Source organism: Homo sapiens, chromosome 12, assembly GCF_000001405.40.
Source record: "Homo sapiens chromosome 12, GRCh38.p14 Primary Assembly".
NCBI lineage: Eukaryota > Metazoa > Chordata > Mammalia > Primates > Hominidae > Homo > Homo sapiens.
The window spans coordinates 42,532,450-42,557,887 of record NC_000012.12 but is presented as its reverse complement, the minus strand read 5'-3'; the positions used below and the strand labels follow the sequence as shown (position 1 = coordinate 42,557,887).

Sequence of the window (25,438 nt, the reverse complement as noted above, 5' to 3'; positions counted from 1 at the left end):
TCAAAGCTGTTCACTTTTTGATTGAAAAGATTGTGATGATTCTGGAATGAGTAGCTTAGTGTGTGTTTGAGGAGCCTTTTACACAGAGAGAGAGAAAAACTCTGCATGGTTACATAAAACAGTCATGAAACCTAAAATTTGATTTGCCAGTTTTATAAAAACAAGATGACTCCCACAGAAACCTCAGAATTGTAATCACTCAAGTCTTCCATGCATTGTGCATGATGGATAACATAGGGATAGATCCAGGCCTTTTCTAACTCCTAAAGCAACTTTTAAATGAACAAACATGGACATCTTTTAAAAATAGAGCATTTTCAGAAAGGAAGAGAGGAGTTCTGTTTGTTACTTTGATTACTGATTCCCCCCACCCCAAATTTTCAGGGAAGCATATGTTGGGGAGGGACGATGCAAACTAGAGATTATCTGCTGCTCTTGTACACAAATTGAGCTACTTGAGCTGGCAAGTTATTTAGAATGTGAAATGCGTTTTCCCAAACGATGTAACCAGATAGGGTTAGCTTGCTTCCTTCATTTGGCCCTTCTTTCATCTATTTAACAGACACTTAAGTGAGTTGCTTCTCCGTCCAGGCACTGTCCCCAAGCCAGTCCACAAAAGCTTAAAGGATAATGCCTATGTATTGAATAAACTGACTTTATTTTAAAAGCCTTCAACCATTATTTTAGCTAGGTGCATATCTTCCTGTCATTGAGTAGCACTCAATGTACCAGTCACTCCATGTACCAGTCACCACTCTGGTAGAAAGTAAAGGCCTTGAGCCAGGCAAGGTGGTAGTCCCAGCCACTTGAGAGGCTGCGGTAGGAGGATCACTTGAGCCCAGGAGTGCTAGACCAGGGCAAGATGGTAAGAACCTGCCTCTTTAAAAAAAAAAAAACAGAAATTTTGTTTTAACAAAATAAAGGTTCATTCCTTGGTCTTTGTCCTAAACTAAGCCATAAACTCTGAAGGCAGGGCAGTGTCTTATTCTAGTCTGGGTGCCTGGCACATTGTAGGTGCTCAGAAATAATTGTTGAGCAAAGCATAAAAACTACTGGTGAAGAACATTCAATTTTGCAAAACCCATATCTTTGCATTATCCATTTTAATCCTTCTTTGCACCCCATCAGGCATGTACATATATTGGAAAGTCAAGAAGTTGGGTATTGGCTATGTAAACTTCTTGACTAATTATAAACTTGACTATATAAACTTCTTGACTAATTATAAAACTCATTTGTTCAGTCACTTAATAAAGATTCATTAAGGTCCCTACTTCGTACTGGATCCTATTTCTGAATAAGGATCTAGATCCAAGAGCACAGGCCTGGAGCTCAAGAGCCTGTGTTTGACCCCTGGCCATGACGCTTAGATAGTAGCTGCATGATCTCCAGCAAATCAGTGAAGCTCCTCTATAAAGTGAGGATAATAATCCCTCCCTTACAGGGTGGGATTCTATGATTAAATGAATTGTATAAAATACTTAGGCCATGTATAGATATTATTGTGGTGATGGTCATGGTGGTGGTTGTTATTAGAAAGAACAAAGATGATCATGTCTTGTGATGGAATGGGGCAAAGGGGAGGAGCCAGGTCTTCCAGGGTCTTGCTGGCCTCACAAACATTTGAGGCGTCATCCTTGGGCCTGGGAAACATTGAAACCCTTTATGCAGGGAGAGGGTTGTAATGAAGTCTGTAGCTTTTTGCTTCTCTCAAGGCCAGAGACGCTCATTCAGCAAATTCAACAATCAATTGCTTAAGGCAACCTAGTAAGTGGCCACTTGCACATAATCAATAGGACTTTATGCCTGAATTACAGAAAATAATATGGATTGTATTTAGCAACTGAGTGAGGTGGTAAATGTTTGCTTACCTTCAAAGTGGAATTAAGAGATACATAATGTTACAGACCTAACCTCAGGCTACTTGTAAAGAAAATCAAATTTGGTGATTAAATAGTGAAAGGCATAATTCTTTTTACTCTCTGGGCCCTTAGAATAATAGAAGGTTTATATGCACTTGGGTTAGGAGTGAGGTTATTGCTAATGCTGAACAACCAAGTGGTATATAAAGAAAATGCTATGCAGAAATAATGGCCATTCTAGAAGGATTCTAGGGGGATGCTTTTTTAACAGCTATTTTTTACTGTTACCTTTATTAATTGTTAAAATATTTAGAATGTATTATACCTTACAAATACCCATTTGTTCTATCTCAAAATTTTGTGTTAAGCTATAAAAAGCCATAATGAGAACATTTTCAACTCTGAGCTCTGTGTCATTTGAAACTCAACAAAACATTGAAATAATGATCTTTGTGTTCCCTTATAAGAAAAAGCTAATTATGGGTATGTAATACTCAGGTAAATATATGTTGTGAAAGGTTTTAAATTTTAAAGGTGGGAATAAGAAAAGCAATGAAAAGAAACATTGCTAAACTGATTTTATACTCTTACATAAAGATTATTGTTTTTCGCATCTATAACCACAATAATACTATTTAACCCCAAAATAGTTGGGCCAAGTCTATTCCATTTTCCTCTGTAGTCTAACAGAAATTACTGCTTTTTGCTTTGTTTTGTTTTTGAGATGGAGTTTCGCTCTTGTCACCCAGACTGGAGTGCAATGGCGTGATCTCGACTCACTACAACCTCTGCCTCCCAGGATCAAGTGATTCTCCTGTCTCAGCCTCCCAAGTAACTGGGATTACAGGCGTGCACCACCATACCTGGCTAATTTTTTGTATTTTTAGTGGAGACAGGGTTTCACCATGTTGCCCAGTCTGGTCTCGAGCTCCTGACCTCAGGTGATCCACCCTCCTCGGCCTCCCAAAGCGCTAGGATTACAGGGATGAGCCACTGCGCCCGGCCTGAGAATTTATGTATTTTAAAGGAGTTTGAAGAATTTTGATAGCTACCCACCCAAAGCAACACTTAAATGAACCATCCCATCTAAGTGTCCATATTGCACTACCTAGTGAGGTACTCGTGTAAGAAAAAAAAAAAAAATAAGTTCTAGTCCATTTTGTTTTATTTAAACTAGAGGAATTTTCATCTTGTTGCCCAGTACCTTAGGGAAAGAGTTGGTGAAGAGAACGTGAGCCTCGGTTTTAGTGGGAAAGTTCTGTGTTTTATAACCTTCACCACGAAGAGAATTGGGCTTTGCTGGCATTAGCAAATTCACTCCTTTATTCTCTTGGGTTTGGTTAAAAGTCCTTTTTTAAACTTGAAACTTCCTTTTTTTCTAGCAAGAATTTGCCTCACCTCTTGTGATGCTTTTCTTCCTCACAGGTTTCCAGTTCGCCCTTTGAGTAACTTGTAAACTGCAAACGAGTCTAAAAGGGAAATACAAAAGTCATCTCCCACCTTTGGAAGACATCAGTGTCTATTCCATCTCCTTTTAAAAAGATAACGAGGGAAATCAATGGCCATAGTTTTCTTGGAAATAGAATTTTTCTCCAACTACCATTTTGGTCATTTGTATACGGCTTTGCTGAATTCTAAGTTTTCAATGTAAAATTATGGGTTATTTTACTTTTTCCTTTTTTTAGTCATTTGTATTTTCTATTTCCTTTACAATAAGAATGAGGAACACTATGTAATGAGCACATAACATATCAAGACTTACATGCGTTCTTTCTTTTAATCTTCACAACAATAAACAAAATGAATTGTTTTAAGACCCTGTATAGTATCAGCTTATTTAATGTCACCACAGCTTGATGGGTGTTTTGGTCTCCTGTTTTGTTTTTTTGTTGTTGTTGGTTTGTTTGTTTCGTTTTGTTTTGAGACAGAGTCTCACTCTTGTCGCCCAGGCTGGAGTGCAATGGTGGGATCTCAGTCCACTGCAACCTCTGCCTCCCGGGTTCAAGCAATTCTCCTGCCTCAGCCTCCCCAGTAGCTGGGATTACAGGCGCCAGCCACCATGCCCCACTAATTTTTACATGTTTTAGTAGAGATGGGGTTTCGCTGTGTTGGCCAGGCTGGTCTCTAACTTCTGACCTCAGGTGATCCGCCCGTCTCAGCCTCCCAAAGTGCTGGGATTACAGGCGTGAACCCCTGCGCCCGGCATTTGTCTCCAGTTTTTAAAGGAGAGAACTGAGGCAGATGTTCAGTGATTTGCTGCAGGTCACCTGGTGTAAGCAGCAGAACCAGACTTGAACCCCAGCAGTGCGACCCTACAAGCCATTGTCTTAACTTGCTAGAGTACCACTCCCTCCATCACATTCAGAGTGCCTGCTATTATCTGTATTTTACAGATGAGGAAACTGAAGCTTAGAGAGGTTAAGTAACTTGCCCAAGGTGACGTTACCCTGGGCAATGATGGAATAGGAGGGACACTCAGACCCCCCCCGCCCCACCCACCCCCTGATTCTAGAGCCAATTTGCCTTTCAGTAACACAACACAATGGACTTATTGTTTGGAGAAAAACAGTTTTTTTTTTTTTGAGACGGAGTCTCGCTCTGTTGCCCAGGCTGGAGTGCAGTGGCGTGATCTCGGCTCACTGCAAGCTCTGCCTCCCCGGTTCACGCCATTCTCCTGCCTCAGCCTCCCAAGTAGCTGGGACTACAGGTGCCCGCTACCACGCCCGGCTAATTTTTTGTATTTTTAGTAGAGACAGGGTTTCACCGTGTTAGCCAGGATGGTCTCTATCTCCTAACCTCAGGTGATCCGCCCGCCTCGGTCTCCCAGAGTGCTGGGATTACAGGCGTGAGCCACCAAGCCCGGCCGAGAAAAAAAAAAAATTTAAGAACCTGGGGATGACACATAAATATTCATATTCTAAGACAGGGGTCCCCACCCCCAGGCCAAAGACCAGTACCAGTCCTTGTCCTGTTAGGAACCGGGCCGCACAGCAGGAGGTGAGCCGCCGGCCAGCGAGCAATACAGCCTGAGCTCCACCTCCTGTCAGATCAGCTGCAGCATTAGATTCTCAGAGGAGCTCAAACTCTATTGTGAACCGCGCAGGAGAGGGATCTAACCTCCCTAGATTGCGCGCTTCTTATGAGGATCTATTGCCTGATGAAAACATCCACTCCCACTCCACCTCCGTGTCTTCCATGAAACGGGTCCCTGGTGCCAAAAAGATTGGGGACGGCCATTCTAAGAGACCACTTCCCTATTTGTCAGAAATGTGATTGTGTTTACTCCAATTTAAAACAGGGTCTTTACATACGTTCCTAATACAAGTGCTGCTTGCTACTACTACTCACAGCGCTCTGTGCCCAACTCTTAACTTCCTCCCTCAAGTCCCTCTGGAAAGAAGAGAGGAGATGCCTTCCTTCTGACGATGGGACCCCCATTGGTGATTCCTGAGACTTTATTGCTAATTCTCTGACTTTGGCTGTAATGACAATAAGAATAAAAAAGCAAATAGAACCCACCTTTGTGGAGCACTTGCTCTGTTCGGGGCTCTGGACTAAGTGCTTTTCATACATTGTCTTACTTAGTTTCCTGTTATTAATATTCCCTCCATTTTACAGAAATAGGAAATAGTGTAGAGTGACATTAAGGAACTTTCTTGGCCTGGCACGGGAGCTCACACCTGTAATCCCAGCACTTTGGGAGGCCAAGGTGGGAGGATTGCTTGAGCCCGGGAGTTCAAGACCAGCCTAGGCAACATGGCAAAACCCTGTCTCTACTAAAAAATATAAAAATTAGCCGGGCGTGGTGGCATGCACCTGTGGTCCCAGCTACTTGGGAGGCTGAGGTGGGAGGTTCACTTGAGCCCAGGAGGCAGAGGTTGTAGTGAGCCGAGGTTGCATAACTGCACTCCAGCCTAGACAACAGAGTGAGAGCCTGTCTCCAAAAAAAAAAAAAAAAAAAAAAAAGTAACTTTCTTGAATGTGTACAGGTTGTGAATGGCTAATGGAGATTTCAGTCAGTATTTGTCATACTTGACAAAATCCACCTTCTTAGCTTCCATGCCATACTGTAGGTTAAGGACTGTAGTAGTTTTAAACATCATAGAAATATAGTGGGGCTTTTTGTTTTTTGGTTGAGGTGGTGTGGATCAGCTGCTTCCCACCAACTGGCTTTTAAAAATTCAAAATCCTTATTAAGTTGCTTCATAACTATATGGTGTCTGCTTATGAAATTAACTGGACTCTAGCATTGGACCCATTGAAAATCAGACAGCCAACCTTTTGGAAGAGAGGATGTCCAAATAAACGTCTCCTCTTCCCTTGGGCCACACACAGGGAGAAGAAACCAGCTTCAAGCAATTGGCCCTAATGTGTGTGTTTCTCTTTCCTCCACTCTCCTCCTTCTTTATTTATTTGCCATCATACAGAGATGGCACCCTTATTCTTTACAGGTGGATCAATATTTACAGCCATTCAGTGGGGACTTTGTTGGCTCTTCCTGTTCTGCAGGCTGCTGTGTAACAAAAGCTGCCTGTTTTTCTGGGACCCTCCACATCTGCTAGCAGAACTGCAGTTAGTATTACTGGGAGCTTTGACTGATGACCAGTTCAAAGTCAGTTTGTTTGGAGTGCTTACAACAATCTTCCTGTTTGCTAGGAAGTAAAATAACTCTGCTACACACAGGTATCAGACCCAGAAGGCAGATATGTGGTTCACAGTAGACATTTATTTCTCCATCTTTATTTTTTCTCATGATCACCTCAACATTCTGATGTGTGATCACAACCATCTGTACAATTATAGTTATTTAAGCTACCGTAAGTTTAAAATTGAAGGTTGCATAGGTGCATATTAACAAGGGTGGTGCTGATAAATTTTTAAAAAGAGTTAGCTGATCACAATGGCATTTTAAAATTAATGAATGCAATTGGCTTTAATTATTAAAAAAATACATAGTCTAGCAGGCTTCCTCAATAAGGCTTTTTTGTGCTGACTGTGGCACATTTTTCCTCAAATAATTGCAGAGCTCAGCTTTATCATTAAGCAGATGGTTTCTATTAATTCCCAAGGAAAGTAAATGATTGCAATTAACCAAACACTCAAAAGTTGAGGATTTTAGAGTTCAGCCCTAGTACTTCAGGCAGGAATCTGTGTGTCACCCTGTTAGTCAAGGTATGCCAAAAAGGAGAAACTCTCTTGACAATTTTATAATGTCTCCTCCTTTATAGATGGGCTTTGAAAGTAACTTCGAGCGTTCTCAAAGCTAAGTTACTGCTAAATCTCTGTTGACTTGCTGGTTCTAAGTTTTTATGGTGTTTTCTGTTGATTTGTTGTTTTGTAGTAGGAAGAGGATTGGAAATATTCTAGATAAATCTGAGTAGCAGTTGAAAACAGTTCAAAAACTCTGTAAATTCAGGTAGTACTATAGGGGTTATGTCTTTTCCACAAATGCCACTGTGTTTCTTTGCCCTATAATACGACATTTGGGAGACTATTTTGTTGGCAGTTTCAAAGAAAGGATAAACTGATAGAGAATACCCTTATGCAAGTCACCCTTTCTCTTCCAGTAAATAAACTAATGTTTCCAGTGAATTTCTTCAAACTTCTTGGTTTTAACCAAATGATATTGCTTCTTCTTTTCCTCATTTTAAAGTTCAGTCATTTACTCAACAGATTTTTTCTTTCTTTCTTTTAAGATAAGGTCTCGCTCTGTTGCCCAGGCTGGAGTGCAGTGGCGCGATCATGGCTCACTGCAGCCTCGACCTCCTGGACTCAAGCGATTCTCCCACCTTGGCCTCCTGAGTAGCTGGGACCACAGGCATGTGCCACTATACTCAACAGATTTTTGTTTGGGTGAGCTGCTGTGTGCCAGGTTGGAGGACAGAAGGAGAAAAATATTTTGTCCCTGATTTCAAGGGGCTTGCAATGTGGGTGCAAAGTCTGACCTTGTGAACAATAGCAATACTGTGAGGTACATGGACAGTGGAGCATTTCAGCATGTGCAAAGGTGTCAAACAAGAATCAGAGCAGAGATGCTACTTGAGCTTGGGCTAGAAGGATGAGTGGAAGTTTCCCAAGTTGTTAGTATAGTAAAGAGGGAAGAGTGTGTGCAAGACAGGGAGGCCCCCAAAGCAGGTTAAGCTCAAGGACCTCTTAGGTAATTAGATGTTGCCAGAATGCAAATTTCAAGGGAAGCATGTTGGAAGCTCAAGTCAGACTGATAGGCTGGGGCCAGATAATGATGCCCTTTGGAGCTTTGCTAAGAAGTTCAGATTTTATCCTGTAGATGATACTCTATGTGGCAGCAGTGTGGTGTATGGATAGATTAGAGGAGGTGGAAACGGACTGGAGAGATAAGTGAGCCATCTATTACACAAGCTAGGGAAGAGAGGGAAGGGTCTATGGGGACTTGTAGGTTTGGGTTTAGGCAATTGTTGGGAGGAGGCTTGTGCATTCTAGAGATAGGGAATGTGTGGTGCCTTTGAGTCATCGAGGTGGAGATGTCAGTGAGAGGTAGGGGTGGGTTCCATGATCCCGGACCCTAAAGGAAAGATGTGGCTTTGAGTCATAGTAAACCCTAACCTGAGAACTCTGCACATGACTCCTGAAACTATGTCAAGATAAGTTTAACAACAGGTATTTCCACCTTTGTTTTCTTGTTTCTTTAACTTTTTATGTTGTAGTCATGCGAATTCCTTAGGATGTGGATTCAGCTATGGCCAGTTTGATGTGTGTTCTTACCCCTAACCAAGCTTCAGCAGTTTGATAACATACACATCTGGGAAATGAGGAACGCTGGGCGGGTAGCAAATTGTTCATTAATATTGCCCCTAATGGTTTTTTTCCTAGCTTTCTATGGAGAGAGGTGATCTTTATCTAGGTTTTTTTTTTTTTTTTTTTTTTTTTGGAGACAGGGTCTCACTCTGTTGCCCAAGCTGGAGTGCAGTGGCCCGATCTCAGCTCACTGCAACCTCTGCCTCCCAGGTTCAAGCGATTCTCCTGCCTCAACCTCCCAAATAGCTGGGAATATAGGCACAAGCTATCACACAGCTAATTTTTGTATTTTTAGTAGAGACAGGGTTTCACCACGTTGGCCAGGCTGGTCTCAAACTCCTGGCCTCAACTGATCCACCTGCCTCGGCCTCCCAGAGTGCTGGGATTATAGGCATGAGCCACCGCGCCCGGCCTCACCCTTCTTCTTAAACCAAGTGATGGAATCTTCTGAGACTCATATTTGCATCCTTGTCATCAGTTTCAATTGGAGGTGAGGGATGGACAGGATAGCACATTCTCTCCATCTGAAATAATGACCTCCATGCTACTCACCTCCTCTCCAAATCCCACCTCAAAGACTCAACACAAATCCCACCTCCTCTTCTTTTGACTGTACCTTCTGAAAGTGAGCCTAGCTTTGCTCTTCGGAACTCCTGTAGTGTTTATTATTTTGCACCCTTTATTTACCATTTAGCATTTGCTACTTGTGAAGTTAGTTATTCCAGTGTGCATAGATGCCTTCAACCCCCTTCTAGATGGGTGTCTTCTCAGGAGTACCCTATGACCCTCTTTGGGTTCCCCGCTTTTTGTCTTCTATATTGACTTATGCTTACGAAGCACATAATAAATATATATGTGTTAATATGTTCGAGAAATTTTAAAATATAGGATGGTTTTTTCTACTGCATATACAGGTTGAGCATCCCTAATTCAAAAATCCAAAATCTGAAATGCTCCAAAATCTGAAACTTTTTGAGCACACCAACATGACACCACAAATAGAAAATTCCACACCTCAAGTAACTGGTTGACCTCAAGTGACTGGTTGCAGTTAAAACTTTGTTTCAGCTGAGCGCAGTGGCTCACTCCTGTAATCCTAGTGCTTTCAGAGGCTGAGGCAGGAGAATCTCGTAAGCCCAGGAATTTGAGGCCAGTGTGAGCAACATAGTGAGACCACATCTCTATTAAAAAACACAAAACAAACAAACAAAATTTAAAAACTTTGTCTCATGCATACAATTATTTAAAATATTGTAGAAAATTACTTTCAGGCTATGTGTATAAGTTGTATATGAAACATAATTAAATTTCATGTTGAGACTTGGGTTCCATGTTCGTGATATCTCATTACATATATGCAAATATCCTAAAATTCAAAAAATCAAAAATCCAAAACACTTCTTCTCCCAAGTACTTCAGATAAAGGATACTTAACCTGTACTATGAATGTGTAACCTTGATTTTCCTCTCGTAAATTAACATTATCAGTTATAAACATAGCTGCCTTTATTATGTATATAACATTGTTAATCCGAGAACCTTGGAAGTGGGTTTATCCAGCTCCTAGCTTTTAATCTGAATTGACCTAATGATAATAGATCATATTATTTGAGCATAGTATACGTTATCCCATTCAGTCTTTAAAAATAGTATCAAGAATTAGGTGTATTTTTTCCCATTTTACAGATAGGAAAACTGGGCCTTAGAGAAGATAAGTGACCTGTCCAGAAACACACAGCCTTGAAGAGACAAAGCTGGGACAGGACCCTGCTGGGTTCAGCTCCAACTCCAAGTCCTGCGGTTTATCCATGGCATGGTGCTGCTGGCCTTTGTACATCTGTTATATTACATAATCTGCCCAAGGGCCTCATGAATACCTTTTGCTAGCCTCATTTACAGATAAATAAACTGAAATTCAAAAGTTTTAGATGGCATACCAGGGTTATTAATTAGGTCTGTCTGTCTCCCAAACCTTTGTTCTTTCCACCATACATCACTTCCTCCTAGTAGTAGTTGCTAGGAAGATGCCTCAGTAAAGGTTTGAAGTAGCTTATTACTAAGACCCTTCCAATTCTAAGTTTCTATGTTATAGGAGGAAGATTTATCAGGGAAATAACTTTTCAGGGATAGAAATTATTCCAGCTACAGAAGGTAACTTCACACCTCCTGTTGATTGTTCCTATATTAGTGAGAATGCATGAATACTTGGAACTTGCAGCTAATTCAAAACAAAACAAGCAAAAACTTGGGGTATATTTTGTCAGAACTGTTAACAAGTAATAAGAATGGCTGGTTCAAGTTTCTTTCTTTTCTTTTCTTGCAAAATAGTTGAAATGAAAGTGAAAGGCCCAAGGACAGACAACAAGAAAACACATATAAAGGTTTCGAAAAAGCCACAAAACTGCATAATTCAGCCAGTAAATTTAAGAGTTTTATAGCCAGCTTAAGAAATTATCAAGTGCTAAATGGAAGATTCACTATTTTATTTTGTTTTGTTTGAGATGGAGTCTCGCTGTGTCACCCAGGCTGGAGTACAGTGGCATGATCTCGGCTCACTGCAACCACCACCTCTGAGGTTCGAGCAATCCTCCCACCTCATTCTCCCGAGTAGCTGGGATTACAGGCACATGCCACCACACCTGGCTAATTTTTGTATTTTTAGTAAAAACAGGGTTTCGCCATGTTGGCCAGGCTGATCTCAAACTCCTGACCTCAAGTGATCCTCCCACCTCAGCCTCCCAAAATGAGATTCACTACTTTAAAAGATCTCAAGTGAAGAATAATATTTAATTCTTTACTCAGTTTGCCTCAAATATCCCTGAAAGCTGGATAGCATAGAGAGTCAGCATTAAGTCAGGTGAAAAGTTCCTTCCATTGTGTGAATCTGTTTTCACTTAATTTTTGTTTATGTCCACTATTCTCATTTTGTCTCAATATAACATAATTTTGTCTGTGATTGATTACCAGTCCTTTTCAAATTTATGTGTACTGTGATTTAATTAACTTTACCCTTAAGCAATGTGTTTTGAGACATATTAATGAGGTGGGAGTCTTTTCAGAGTATTCATAACTTATACATCCTTCTTTCATTTTTTGGCTTGGCATCAGGCTTTGAAATTCTACAAGGCAAAGGTCTGAATTCTGAGCCTACCTGACTCCAGGGAAGATCTCCTATATATTTTCTGGCATGTTTGTTCGTCAGTGTTTATGAAAGATTGCTTTTTTACATCTAAATTCTTTTCTCTATTGCTGATTAAGAAATTACTTGAAAAAAATCTTTTGACTATAGATTTTTTTTTACTAAGTCATTCAAATAACTTTCAAGAATCTCCCTCCTTCCATATATATATATATATGGATATATTTTTCCTTCCATATATATATTTTTTTTTTTTCTTTTTTGAGACGGAGTCTTGCTCTGTCACCCAGGCTGGAGTGCAATGGCGCAATCTCGGCTCACTGCAACCTTTGCCTACCGAGTTCAAGCGATTCTCCTGCCTCAGCCTCCTCAGTAGCTGGGATTACAGGCACATGCCACCATGCCCAGCTAATTTATTTTATTTTTAGTAGAGATAGAGTTTCACCATTTTGGCCAGGCTGGTCTCAAACTCCTGACTTCAAGTGATCTGCCTGCCTTGGCCTCCCAAAGTGTTGGGATTACAGGCGTGAGCCACCGCACCCAGTCCCAAAATATTTTAGTGTGTTCAGTTTTAATGTTTTCCAAGAACATACTAAAACAAGATACAAATAAACAATTTAATGCATGAGACTTTGGGAAATTATGTATTTCTCTTCCATTCTGCCCAGTACATTCTTACAATGAGAAACTGCAGAATGCAGCATGGCTTTGTGCATTTGGATATGTGTGTCATTCATTGAATGACATTCAACAAGTTTTTTTCAGTGCCTACTAACTATGTGCTAGGTGCTGTTAAAATTCAGTGTGAGGCCAGACATGGTGGCTCACACCTGTAATCCCAGCACTTTGAGGGGAAGAAGCTGAGTAGATCACTTGAGCTCAGGAGTTCTAGACTACCCTGGGCAACATGGCGAAACCCCATCTCTACAAAAAATAAAAAAATTAGCTGGGCATGGTGATGCGCACCTGTAGTCCCAGCTACTCAGGAGGCTGAAGCAGGAGGATCACTCGAGCCCAGGAGGTTGAGGCTGTAGTGAGCCATGATCATACCACTGCACCATGATCTTGCCACTGCACTCCAGCCTGGGTGACAGAGCAAGACCTCATCTCAAAAAAAAAAAAAAATTCAGCGTGGTAGTCCTAGGAGCTCTTTTCCACTTCTCCTGCAAAGCAAGGAGAAGGAAAGCAGCTAATCCTCATATGTGATAACAGGAGGTCAGACCAGACTCAAGTTGTAAAATCAACTGTGGTAGTCTCTACATATTATTTTGAAATGTAGAGGTAAATCTCAGAAGAAATAGCACAAAGAGACAAAAGTGATTGCCTTCAGCAGCCAGGTAACTACCATTTCTGTTGTAAGACTTTTTAGCCCTCACTATTTTGCTCTTAAAAACAAGTACTTATATATTACTTTGATAAGATAAAAAATAAAAATTTTTAAGAGCATAACTAGTTCTATCAGAGGGTTAGCATTATCTTTAGAGTTTTTGGTAGAGAGGGAACTTCCTGATGGAACTCTCCTGTCCTGCAAAGGGTAATGTTCACTAACTTTTACTTGGCTTATCTTTAGGGGCCTGAAGTTAGGTCCATAAATGTTAACATTATGGGAGATGGGAAGATGGGAGTAGGGGAGATTTTGCCTCAGCAGATTCCCAGCCCAAATCCTGAAAGTTGCAGAGGATTTTAATTGTTAGTGATGATAGATGACAAATACAACAAAAATTAGCTGGAAAAGTGGGAAGATTGTTGAGGAATAGTGCATTGACAGACTACAAAAAAAATTACATCTACTATATAATTAGCTATACTTTACATATACTGATAAAGAAAAATACATACCTTCCTAATGGAAAAATCTGGTGCTGACCAACATAATCAAGTGATCACTCGTAAATTTGTAAATAGTGAGGCAGCCTAGTATGTTTCTTGATGGGCAGCAATGTTGACCCTTGAACAACACAGGTTTGAACAGTGCAGGTCCATTTATATGTGGATTTTCTTCCACCTCTGCCACCCCTGAGATAGTAAGGCCAGCCCCTTCTTCTCTTCCTTCTTCTCAACCTACTTGACATAAGATGACATGGATGAAGACCTTTATGATTATCCACTTCCACTTAATGAATAGTAAATGTATTTTCTTTTCCTTATGATTTTCTTAACATTTTTTCTCTAGCTTACTTTATTGTAAAAATACAGTATATAATACTTATACAAAATATGTGTTAATCAACTACGTTATCAGTGAGGCTTCTGGTCAACAGCAGGCTATTATTATTTAAATTTTGAGGAGTTGGCCGGGTGCGGTGGCTCACGCCTGTAATCCCAGCACTTTGGGAGGCTGAGGCAGGCAGATAACGAGGTCAGGAGATCGAGACCATCCTGGCTAACACGGTGAAACCCCACCTCTACTAAAAATACAAAAATTAGCTGGGCATGGGGGTGGGTACCTGTAGTCCCAGCTACTCAGGAGGCTGAGGGAGGAGAATGGCGTGAACCCAGGAAGTGGAGCTTGCAGTGAGCCAAGATCGCGCCACTGCACTCCAGACTGGGCGACAGAGCGAGACTCCATCTCAAAAGAAAAAAACAAGTTTTGAGGAGTCAAAAGTTCCATGTAGAGCTGGATGCGGTGGCACATACCCATAGTCCCAGCCTTGCGGGAGAATGAGGCAGGAGGATCACTTGAGCTCAGGAGTTCGAGTGCAGCCTGGGCAACATAGTGAGACCCCATCTCAAAAAAAAAAAAAAGAGTTATACATGAATTTGTGGCTGCTCAGGAAGTCAGCGCCCCTAACACCTACATTGTTCAAGTGTCAACTGTACACAGTGTCACCAGTGAAATCTTCTTTTCAAGAACATTTAGCCTGAATCTTAGCAAGCCTTACACAGTTTATAGGAAATAAAGGGGTGTCTTCATTCATTTGAACTGCTGTAACAAAGCACCTTGGGCTGGCTGGCTTATAAACAACAGAAATGTATTTCTCACAGGGCTGAAGACTGGGAAGCCTGAGATCAGGGCACTGGCAAATTTGGTATTTGGTGAAGGCTTGCTTTCTGGTTCATAAATGATGCCTGTCGCAGTGTCCTTATATGGTGGAAAGAGCAAGGCAGCTCTCTGAGGCCTCTCCCATAAGGACAATGAATCCTGTTTGTGAGAGCTCTGCCTTCATGACCTATCACCTCCCAATCGCCCACCTCCTAGAACCATCACACTGGTAATTAGGTTTCACCATATGAATTTGGGGGTTAGAGGACGCAAACATTCAGACCATAGCAAGGGGCTAGCAGAATATGTTAGAAGTTAACGTAAACAACCAAATCTTGAATGTGGGCCCTTCTGTAAGACAACTGTCCTGCAAAATGCAAAATACAACCTTATTGGATCCTGGTTAGGAGAAAGAAATAGCTTCTATTAAAACATTTTTTAATACAACAAAGGCAAAACAAATTATTATTATTATTTTTGAGACAGAGTCTTGCTCTGTTGCCCAGACTGGAGTGCAATGGCATGATCTCGGCTCACTGCAACCTCCGCCTCCTGGGTTCAAACGATTCTTCTGCCTCAGCCTCCCAAGTAGCTGGGATTATAGGCATGCACCACCACACTCAGCCAAGTTTTGTATTTTTAGTAGAGACGGAGTTTCACCATATTGGTCAGGGTGGTCTTGAACTCCTGACCTTAGGTGATCCACCCATCTTGGCCTCCCAAAATGCTGGGATTACAGGCATGAGTCACCGTGCCTGGCCGCAAAATAAATTTTTAAAACAAATTGAGAATATTGAATATAGATTAAATATGTAATAACATTATGAAAAAAAATCATATAAAAGCCCTAGTTTTATCTTACTTTCTTTGACAGCATAAAAAAAAAACCAAAGACCACACAAGCCATATCTTGGTGACATCTTACACCATCATATCAAAATTCTTGGCATTTCTGCCCCCTTAGCTGTCTTCTCACACCCTGTTCGTAGAGTGATGAGGGAGTAGCTTCTAGCTCTGCTCCTTACTAGGCTGCTGAAATTTCCTGGGCAAGCCATCTTCCTCTCATAGCTTCATTTTCTTGGTAAGATAAAACAATTATACTAGCCCCCTGAGGACTATGTTCGGAGTGAGTTCTAGTATGACTTCATAAACTTGAAAGGACTACACAAATGAGATGTTGCAAGCCCGTTTCTCTTCCTGGCTCTGTGCTTCCTGAACCCTATGGCTAGAGGGGAGCATGGATCCCCTTCTTGACTTGCTCTGTCATAAACATGATCTTAAACGTGAACATGCTCACTATTCTACCTTCAAGGAAAGGTCAGCCTAATGTAGGGAACAAGCACTTCTGATCCTTTCTCACCTGACTGTGCTGATACACAAGCTCTTTGGCTAGTGACAGTCACCTGGCCAGCCTTGGAGGATGTTACTGGGACTGCTGTCTCTTGACTTTGATGAGGAAAACAGTTCTGTGCTCAAAAAAGGAAGAGTGGGGGTCCAGGCATGGTGACTCATGCCTGTAATCCCAGCACTTTGGGAGGCTGAGGCAGGAGAATCATTTGAGCCCAGGAGTTTGAGACCAGCCTGGGCAACATAGTGAGACCCCATCTCTACAAAAAATGTAAAAATTAGCTGGGCGTGGCAGTGTGCACCTGTCCTGACTACTTGGGAGGCTGAAGTGGGAGGATTGCTTGAGCCCAGGAGGTCGAGGCTGCAGTGAGCCATGATGGCACCACTGCACTCCAGCCTGGGCAACAGAGCAAGACCCTGTCTCAAAAAAAAGAAAAAAAAAAGAGAAGAGTAGAGTTGGCATGATTTTTGCATAGGAAACAACAACCAAACCAGATAATTGAGGACAAAAACAATCTTCTTTGTGATCTGAGTAATTTTTTCCTTATATAGTATAAATTATGCATATAATCGCCAACTTCTGTTTTGTTCTGAGCTATCTGGACCTCATTTCAGCAACCGATGCCTAAAAGTTTTCCTCTGGAAAAGTGCATCTTATGTTACCAACTGTATTTGTATATTAATATATTTCTTGAAATTGTACTTCAGTTCTTTGAATTATTTATCTCTGAATGGGGGCTATAGAGCAATTCCAAGTGAGCAGCTAACATACTTGTTTAAATGAAAAAAAAACCAAATACCTCTCTATTCTACCCATAAATAGATATGTTGTATAATTTGAGGAAAGATTTCTAAATACAACCACAAAGTGAGAGGATCTTAAGGAGTAAGGAGGCTTGATGGAGGTAGAAGAAAATATTTTGGCTGGGCGCAGTGGCTCACAACTGTAATCCCAGCACTTTGGGAGGCTGAGGTGGGCAGATCACCTGAGGTCAGGAGTTTGAGACCAGCCTGACCAACATAGTGAAACCCTATCTCTACTAAAAATACAAAATTAGCCAGCGTGGTGGTGCATACCTGTATTCTCAGCTACTTGGGAGGCTGAGGCAGGAGAATCGCTTGAACCCGGGAGGCGGAGGTTACAGCGAGCCAAGGTCACACTATTGTACTCCAGCCTGGGCAACAAGAGCAAAACTCCATCTCAAAAACTATATATATATATGTATTTCATGACCACCAAGCTATGATAAATATCTTTCAGATATAATAAAAAATAATTAGCATTCATTTAAAGCTTACTATATGCTAAATATTTGTTTACTATAAGTGCCATATGGTCAGTATTGCATTTAATGCTCCTAACAATCCTCCTTGCCTTCCCATTTCACCAATGAAGAAACTGAGTCTTAAAGAGATAATTTTCCTAAGACCAACATGATGAGGAGGCTGAGTAGAGAATTTGTTTTCAGGTAGCAACTTCAGACCCAAACTCTTAACTGTGACACTGCAGCCATCTTTCTATCAGAGCTGCTTATCTCCTCCTGAGGGAAACATTCTATCAGTTATCCTCTCCACAGTGAAGTGGGAGTTTGAGGAATCTTAGCACAAACTTTTATTGGCTTATGTTATGTAGCATGAGTAAAGCTATGGATTTAACTCTTGAAACATTTCCATCTTTTAATGTGAAAAACACCATCTTAAACAAAACCAGGGAGGTTCATGATGTACACACAATATAATCCCTGATTAACTTGACTAGGTGGAATGAGTCTATGTTGTACTGATCACAGTTGATTTTCTTCTCACACCGCCTAGAATGCCCACTGGGAGAGATATCAAGTATTCTCCAGGACATTAGATTGTAATTAAAGGCAGTGTTCCACTGTTTCTTTAACTTTCTCTGAAGTCCAAAATCAAAACCAGAACCCTAGCATACTTGACATTTCTTTCAGTCTTGTGCATTAATAAAACTTTTTTCTTGTTGCTTTGTCAGGAATACATTTAAGAAGGCACAAAGGACTCTTTAAAAAAACTTAATGCATAAATATGTGACTTTTCAAAATACAAAAATGACTGACTTTATAAACCTAACTCTAAAGCTTTTAATTAATAACTGATTACAAATAGTGATTGCTGAGATTTCTAGAAAAATAGGAAATTTTGGATGGAAAGCCATCATAAGAATTGTGCTCATAACAAGACAGCAGCTGTCTTATTCAAAGACATTGCTCTCTATTTCAGGGTAAAATAGAAGGTCTCAGTAATATAAGAACACAGATAAAGTTTCTGGTTGTATTACTTTTTTTTTTTTTTTTGAGACAGAGTCTCGCTCTGTCACCCAGGCTGGAGTGCAGTGGCATGATCTCAGCTCACTGCAAGCTCTGCCTCCCAGGTTCATGCCATTCTCCTGCCTCAGCCTCCCGAGTAGCTGGGACTACAGGCGCCCACCCCCACGCCCGGCTAATTTTTTGTATTTTTTAGTAGAGACAGGGTTTCACCGTGTTAGCCAGGATGGTCTCGATCTCCTGACCTCGTGATCCACCCGCCTCGGCCTCCCAAAATGCTGGGATTACAGGCGTGAGCCACCGTGCCCAGCCAGATTGTATTACTTTTGTGAATATTTTAATCATTTTCTAACTTCAAGACAGAACTTTGACGTTCAAGTTTTTGTACTTTCAGGATACTATTCAGCATTCCTTCAGCTATCAAATTACATTATATTTTCCAGCTATTTCTTAAATTATTTGATGTATGCTATATTAAAATTTAAAATTCATTTTAAATCTGCTAAACAGAATTACTTCCCATGTTTTTTTCTTGAAGTTGAGCTAGCATAGCTACCACTCTCTAACTTTTGGGAAATCTAAGGCAATAAATGGTTAGATAAAAGACCTAATGTCTTTAAAAAAGAAACAAGAAACTGTATTTATGTGTCACATTGCAGCAATTTGCAACAAACTGCATCATATATAATGCACTTAAAGATAGGAAAACTTACTTCCCTTGTATCCCTACACTGTGTGGTCCCTAATTAGGGATGTGAAGAGCAATAATATGTGGTTCTGTGTCTTAATGAGCTTAAAATCTAATTAGGAAGACAAAAAAGATACACATCAAACTATTAGGGCATTAAACCATATGGTATTAACTCTAGTAGAAGTTCAGAGAAGGGAAAAAGAATGATGAGCTAGAATCTTGATACTCCATGCTCGGGACATGGAGTGATCCTCTGACCGGTAGCAGTTCTGTTGTTCAGAGTTTATTAGTATTGTAAAATGTCAACACTTCCACCCCCGCACCCCTACCTTCTGTATCAGAATCAGCATTTTAACAGCATCTCCAGGTGAATGCTATGCACATTTAAGTTTGAGAAATGCTGAGTCAGAACAATACAAGCACTGTGTTTTTGACCCCAGATCACTATCCAACAGAACCTTCTGCAATGATGGAGACCATCTATTTTTTTTTGCTGCCTAGTATGAAGCTACTAGCTGTTGAGCAACTTGATAGGTAGCTAGTGAAGCTGAGGAACTGGATTCTTATTTCTAAATCTAAATTTAAATAGCCACATGGACCTAATGGCTACTATATTGGACAATGAAAGAGAAGAAAGAGCACTGGATATATATATTTAGAGACAGGGTCTCCCTATGTTGCCCAGGTTGGTCTCGAATTCCTGAGCTCAATCGATCCTGTCTCCTCAACCTCCCAAAGTGCTGGGAATACAGATGTGAGCCACACCCAGCCAGGAGCACTAGATTAAGAGTCAAGAGATTTAATACTTCTCCCAACAGACACTCTTTGGATGACCTTGGGAAAGTGTTTTTAACTTCCCTTTGCCTCAGTTTTGTTATCTATAGGTGATAGGTTTCATTGCATTATGTCATTGTTTTATTTCAGTATTACTGTTACACGATTGTTTGGTTGAAAGAATGCTTCTTTGAACAAGTGAGTCCTGAGATGGACATGCCATTTTGGGAGTGTATCTTGGGCAGAGTCCCCAAAGCACAGGAAGGGATAAAAGTTGAATTTACCAAGTAGTGGTTCCACAAAGGAGGAGAGCGTAGTTTGCTAATCAGCACATATGAAATATTCAGAAAATGTCTTGTTTTCCACTAAATCTCCAAGGCTTCAATCACTGTCTGGTACACAGTAAACACTCATTAAATATTTGTTGAATGATTGAATCAAAGTGATGGTTAAATATTCAGTAAAACAGAGTTGGTATTCAAGCCTGTTTGATATGGTCAATATTACTGCGTTTTGTTTGGTTTGGGTTTTTGTTCCCTGGCAGATTTGTTTAAGAATAGTCTCAGATGACCAGGCATGGTGGCTCATGCCTATAATACCAGCACTTTGGGAGACAGAGGCAGGATGGTCGCTTGAGCCCAGGAGTTCGAGACCAGCCTGGGCAACATGGCAAGACCCTGTCTCTCCAAAAAAAATTTTTTTTTAAATTAGCTGAGCATGGTGGTGCACACCTGTGGTCCCAGCTACTCCAGAGGCTGAGGCAGAAGGATCACTTGAGCTCAGGAGGTTGAGGCTACATTGATGAACTGTGATGAATCATGAACCATGATTATAGTACTACACTCCAGCCTGGGTGACAGAGTAAGACCCTGTCTCAAAAAAAAAAAAGTCTCTACTTAGGCCCCAGGTAAAGCAAAACAGATAATTTATTAGGCATATTTGTGTTGAGTGAGGTGTTTTAATTTAGCAACACCTAAATAGGATCTTTATGTTGAAATTTTTGTAAATGTAAGAATCAAGAGGAGCCAAAACAACTCTATAGGTGGATTACATGTAGTTTTACCAAAGAGTTAATTTAAGAGCATTGCTAATTATAATATGTATACGTACCAGTAACCCTCCCAAAGATGGATAAAATTTGCCATTATATGAACATGAAACTTAATGAGTCCTCATAGCAAATGGAGCAAAAACTATGCACACCAAGTGAAGAAAAGCTCTTCAAGATGAAAGGGTGGACAAGAGGGATGGGAAGAGGTAGGAGAAGACAGTGATGGGCTCAGGGGCTATTCAGGCATCAGATGACCCAAAGAAAGTGGCAGCATCTTGCCCAGGTGAGCAGAGTTCAGGAACTCAGAAATGAGAAACTTCTACACATAAGTTCAGGGAGTCAGATGAGAGAGCTGTTAGAACTAAGCAGTGTAGCAGGAACCAAAGAAAAAGTCCAGGTCTGAAGACTGGGACACAAAAGAATATAGGAAACCATACCCCAGGAGCCCTTGGTTAGTTTCAGGACACGGGACTGTGAGTTCAGGAAGGCAGCTAATGTCCAACTCCGCTGAAGAGGGAGCTGGATGGAGAATTGATCTGAGGAAACAGGAATTGGTTGGAAGGAGAAATCAGCTGGAGGATCTAGGGGTGGTGAAAACCAGGAAAAGCTCCCAGACCTAACATTAGTTTGCATCACCAAGAGGCATTTTTAATGTTGGCCCTGTTTTGTGGTGTCCCTCCTTACATTCTATCCCCAGTTTCCTGGATTAATTTCTTTCTTTAGCATCTTCATTTCTGGAAATAGACAAAAGTCCCCTTGGAGTCCCTCAGTTCCAGTGTCTAAGTCTTTCTGCCCATAATTGCTACTACTACAGATGCTGATCTTTTCATCTTTTCCATTCTCTTTATCTTTTGGCTTTTGCACATTTGAGCGTTTCATCACACTGTTCAGTGGGTGATATTTCTGTGCAGACCAGAGAACCAAGACTTTTCTTTTACTCGGGTGTTGCTTTGAATGTACTGTGTTAGTTTGTGGGTAAATTATGATGTGAGTGTACCAGCCTGTGCTTCCTTCCTTTGCCCTCTAGAGTAGCTGATGAACTCCAAGGGGGAAAGGGACTATCTCTTGTTCATTATCATATTCCTACACCTAGCACAGATCGTCATATACATTAAACAACCAATAACTATTTATTGACTCCTGGCTGTTTATATCTATATTTATTTTCTTTTATTTCTTTTCTTTCTTTCTTGTTAAATAGACAGGTTCTCACTCTGTTGCCCAGGCTGGAGTGCAGTGGCACAATCATAGCTTACTGCAGCCTCAAACTATTGGGCTCAAGCAATCCTCCTGCCTCGACCTCCCCAATAGCTGGGACTAGAGGGTGTGTAACCATATCCAGCTTGCACCTGCATTTCAGAGTTCTGCTTCCTACTCTGTTGGCTGCCTGCCCCTAAGGAAGAGCAAACTCATTCTAACCACTGGGATTCTCAAACAATTTTCTCAATGGTCATAAAATTTAGGATCTTTCTGACCACCTTTCTGCTATTTTGGCTAACACTGGCCTTTGTTGACCCTCATATCAGTTTCCTCTATACTGACTCTGATCCACACCAGGTCTGTTCTGTTTGAAAAATCCAACTCAAAATAGCTTCTCTGAGAAAAGGAAATGTGTTGGTTCATTCAGTTGAAAAGTCCAGGACTAAATCTTGTGCTAGCGTGGTGGAATCTATATGTTTTGTGATTCCTAAGGACTGTCATCTCTTCTTCTTCAGCATGTCTTTCTCTTGTGCTGGCTTCATTGTCAGGCAATATTGTCCAAGATGGAGCAGGTGTGCACACCAGCAGCTGTAAGTTTGTATCTTCCTCAATAATTCAGGAAAGTTCCAGAATTGAGCTGATGTGCCATCAGTCATATACCATATCTGAACCAGTTACTGGCCATGGGTATGGAATGTTCCAGTTGGCTAGGTTTACAGGGTCATGTGTCCCACCCTAAACCCGAGGGTGGGTTCTGCCCCACCAAAACTGTCACAAACTGAGAGTGGATGAGAGATGGTGTCCCAGAGAAAAATTATTTTTATTAGAGAAAAGGAAAATAAATGTCAGGAAGTCAAAAACCATACATATCTACTGCAGCACACTATACATATTTTCTTTGTCCTTACTCCATGGCTTTAGACAAGAATGATTTGTATTTTGTTCATAGGTAGGTTTATCTTTCTAGGAAAATAAATCTGTTTCTTTGGGGTTTTTTTTAGTATCCCCTTTCAAAAAACTGTTCCTTTTCCCACCATTGTGGGGGTAATGAACATCTGGGTGTAACACTTGGAAGTAGAGACTCTGCCAAAGAGAGGAAGAGTCCTGACTCCAGAGTCAGCAGATCCCTGCTCTGCCCTTTTCAAGGCATGCTGCCTTAGACAAATTATTAACCTCTTGCTTAATATCTATCTCAAAGGGCTACTGTAGAGAATTAACCCATTCTTATGTGTAAAGTTCTTAGCATGTGTCTAGCTCATCAAAAGTGCTTAATGCATTTTACCTATTGCTTCTGTTGTTAATGATAATAATAATAGCCACAGCTCACACACTGTTGCTGGCCCCTGTGCTGGATGCCCAAGGCTGAAATAGCTCTGGCATCCTCCCACTCCCTTATCATAGTCCAGCCAACACTGGCCTGCCCTTTTGGAATTCACCCGAGTCCCCATCCACCCTGGACCAGTACCCGCACCTCTGCAGGAAGATGCTTATTCCCATTCTTCCTGGCGGGCTCTCATCTCTAAGGGCTCATCTTCAGTGGAGATTGTCCATTGTCAATGGAGAGGACTTTCCTGACCCCTTCTGCATCCGGATCTGCTCTTTTCTTTCTTTCTTTCTTCATCTTTTCCTTTATTGCCCTGACCACCATCTGTAATTATCTACATGTTTTTGAGTGCTTCTATTACTGACCGTAAGCCCTACTTTATACAATAAGTAGGAGTTTTGATCATTATTTCTCAATAAAATAAATCTAGGTCAAATATTTCCTGGGCCTACTTGACAGTAATAGGAACCTTTTTGAGGATACAATGAGGAATGTCAGAATAGCTAGACAGTGCAGAGCTAGTGATGGGGGAATATTGAGAGAAAATGTTGAAAAGGAAATTGGGCTAGTTTTGTCGTTAGGGGCGTTTTTGTGTGGGAGGGGAGTTGTGAGGGCACAAGATGAAGAGTGTCAGAAGAACAAGGCCTCTGCTGTGTGAAGTGAGTGCCATGCGTGTGACATTCCTTTCTGTTTTGTTTTACTTTTCAGAGTAAATTTAGTCTATATTTAGCATCTTTGCCAATTTATGTATTTTCTCTCTCTCTCTCTTTATTTTTTGTGGGGTATGGCAGTACAAGGAGGTGTTGGTCACGTTGCCTATTTATTATACAATTCCCCCAAGCACTTTGGCAACTTTATAAATAATGACCATTTATGACTGTTGTCTAGACTTAACAAATGGTTATTTAACAGGCAATGAAATAATTTTCCCACAGTTCTTATACTATATTTACACACACCACTTTTAAGGAGCAAATGTTAGGGCTTGTGCTCAAAATGTAAGTCTTGTTCACAGCAGTGAATTATTCTCTATGGACAATGAAATTAGTACTCACTGGTATGAAACGCAGAACAAAGACAAGTACAGTAATTTTTCAGGGATAAGGTTCTTGGAGTTGAATGTTTAAGTCATCATAAATCTAATCAGTGCTGATTGGAAAATATTAAATAACATAACGATTCATTAACTTCACAATAATATAGATTTATTGTCAAACGGGTAAAAAATACAGAAAAAAAAAAAAGAAGAAAAAAAAATCTATCCCCAGAATAACATGGTAAACATTTTGGTATATACCCTTCTAGGTTTTTTTCTCTTATTCATGGATTTTTAAAGCATACAATTAGAAATATACTGTACTTATGTCATGATCTATTTTTAAATTTTAATATCTCATTAATGATTTTCTAGATCTAAGCCTTATCTATAGCTACACTATTTAATACTGTAACCACTAGCAACATGGGCTGTTGAGCACTAGAATTGTGGCTAGTCTGAATTGAGATGTGCTGTAAGTGCAAAAAACACACCAGATTCCAAACACAATTTTTTTTTTTTTTTTTGAGACGGAGTCTCACTCTCGCCCAGGCTGGAGTGCAGTGACACGATCTCGGCTCACTGCAAGCTCCGCCTCCCGGGTTCACACCATTCTCCTGCCTCAGCCTCCCGAGTAGCTGGGACTACAGGCGCCCGCCACAGCGTGCGGCTAATTTTTTGTATTTTTAGTAGAGACGGGGTTTCACCGTGTTAGCCAGGATGGTCTCGATCTCCTGACCTCGTGATCCGCCCGCCTCAGCCTCCCAAAGTGCTGGGATTACAGGCGTGAGCCACCGCGCCCGGCCGGAACAAGAAACACATTTTTAAAAAGTAAAATATCTCATTACTAATTTTTATATTGATTACATGTTGAAATATTTCAAATAAGTTGAGCTAAATAAAATATATTAACGAAATTAATTTCACTCGTTACTTTTTACTTTTTCTAATGTGCTTACTAGAAAATTTAAA

The 25,438-nt window shown here is 40.8% G+C and overlaps 1 protein-coding gene across 3 annotated transcripts in view, besides 1 other annotated feature; it reads left to right on the top strand.

The window, feature by feature from the left end:
• The window catches only part of PRICKLE1 (prickle planar cell polarity protein 1), a 132,990-nt gene that overhangs the window by 31,859 nt on the left and 75,693 nt on the right, over positions 1–25,438 (top strand). The gene's annotated exons all lie outside the window — the stretch shown is intronic.
• Positions 4,204–4,703: an enhancer, noted in NCBI's record as "H3K4me1 hESC enhancer chr12:42946987-42947486 (GRCh37/hg19 assembly coordinates)". NCBI's record gives its function as "activates a minimal SCP1, AML or CMV promoter by ChIP-STARR-seq in primed H9 embryonic stem cells {active_cell/tissue: H9 hESC(primed)}" and the evidence as "EXISTENCE:reporter gene assay evidence [ECO:0000049][PMID:30033119]".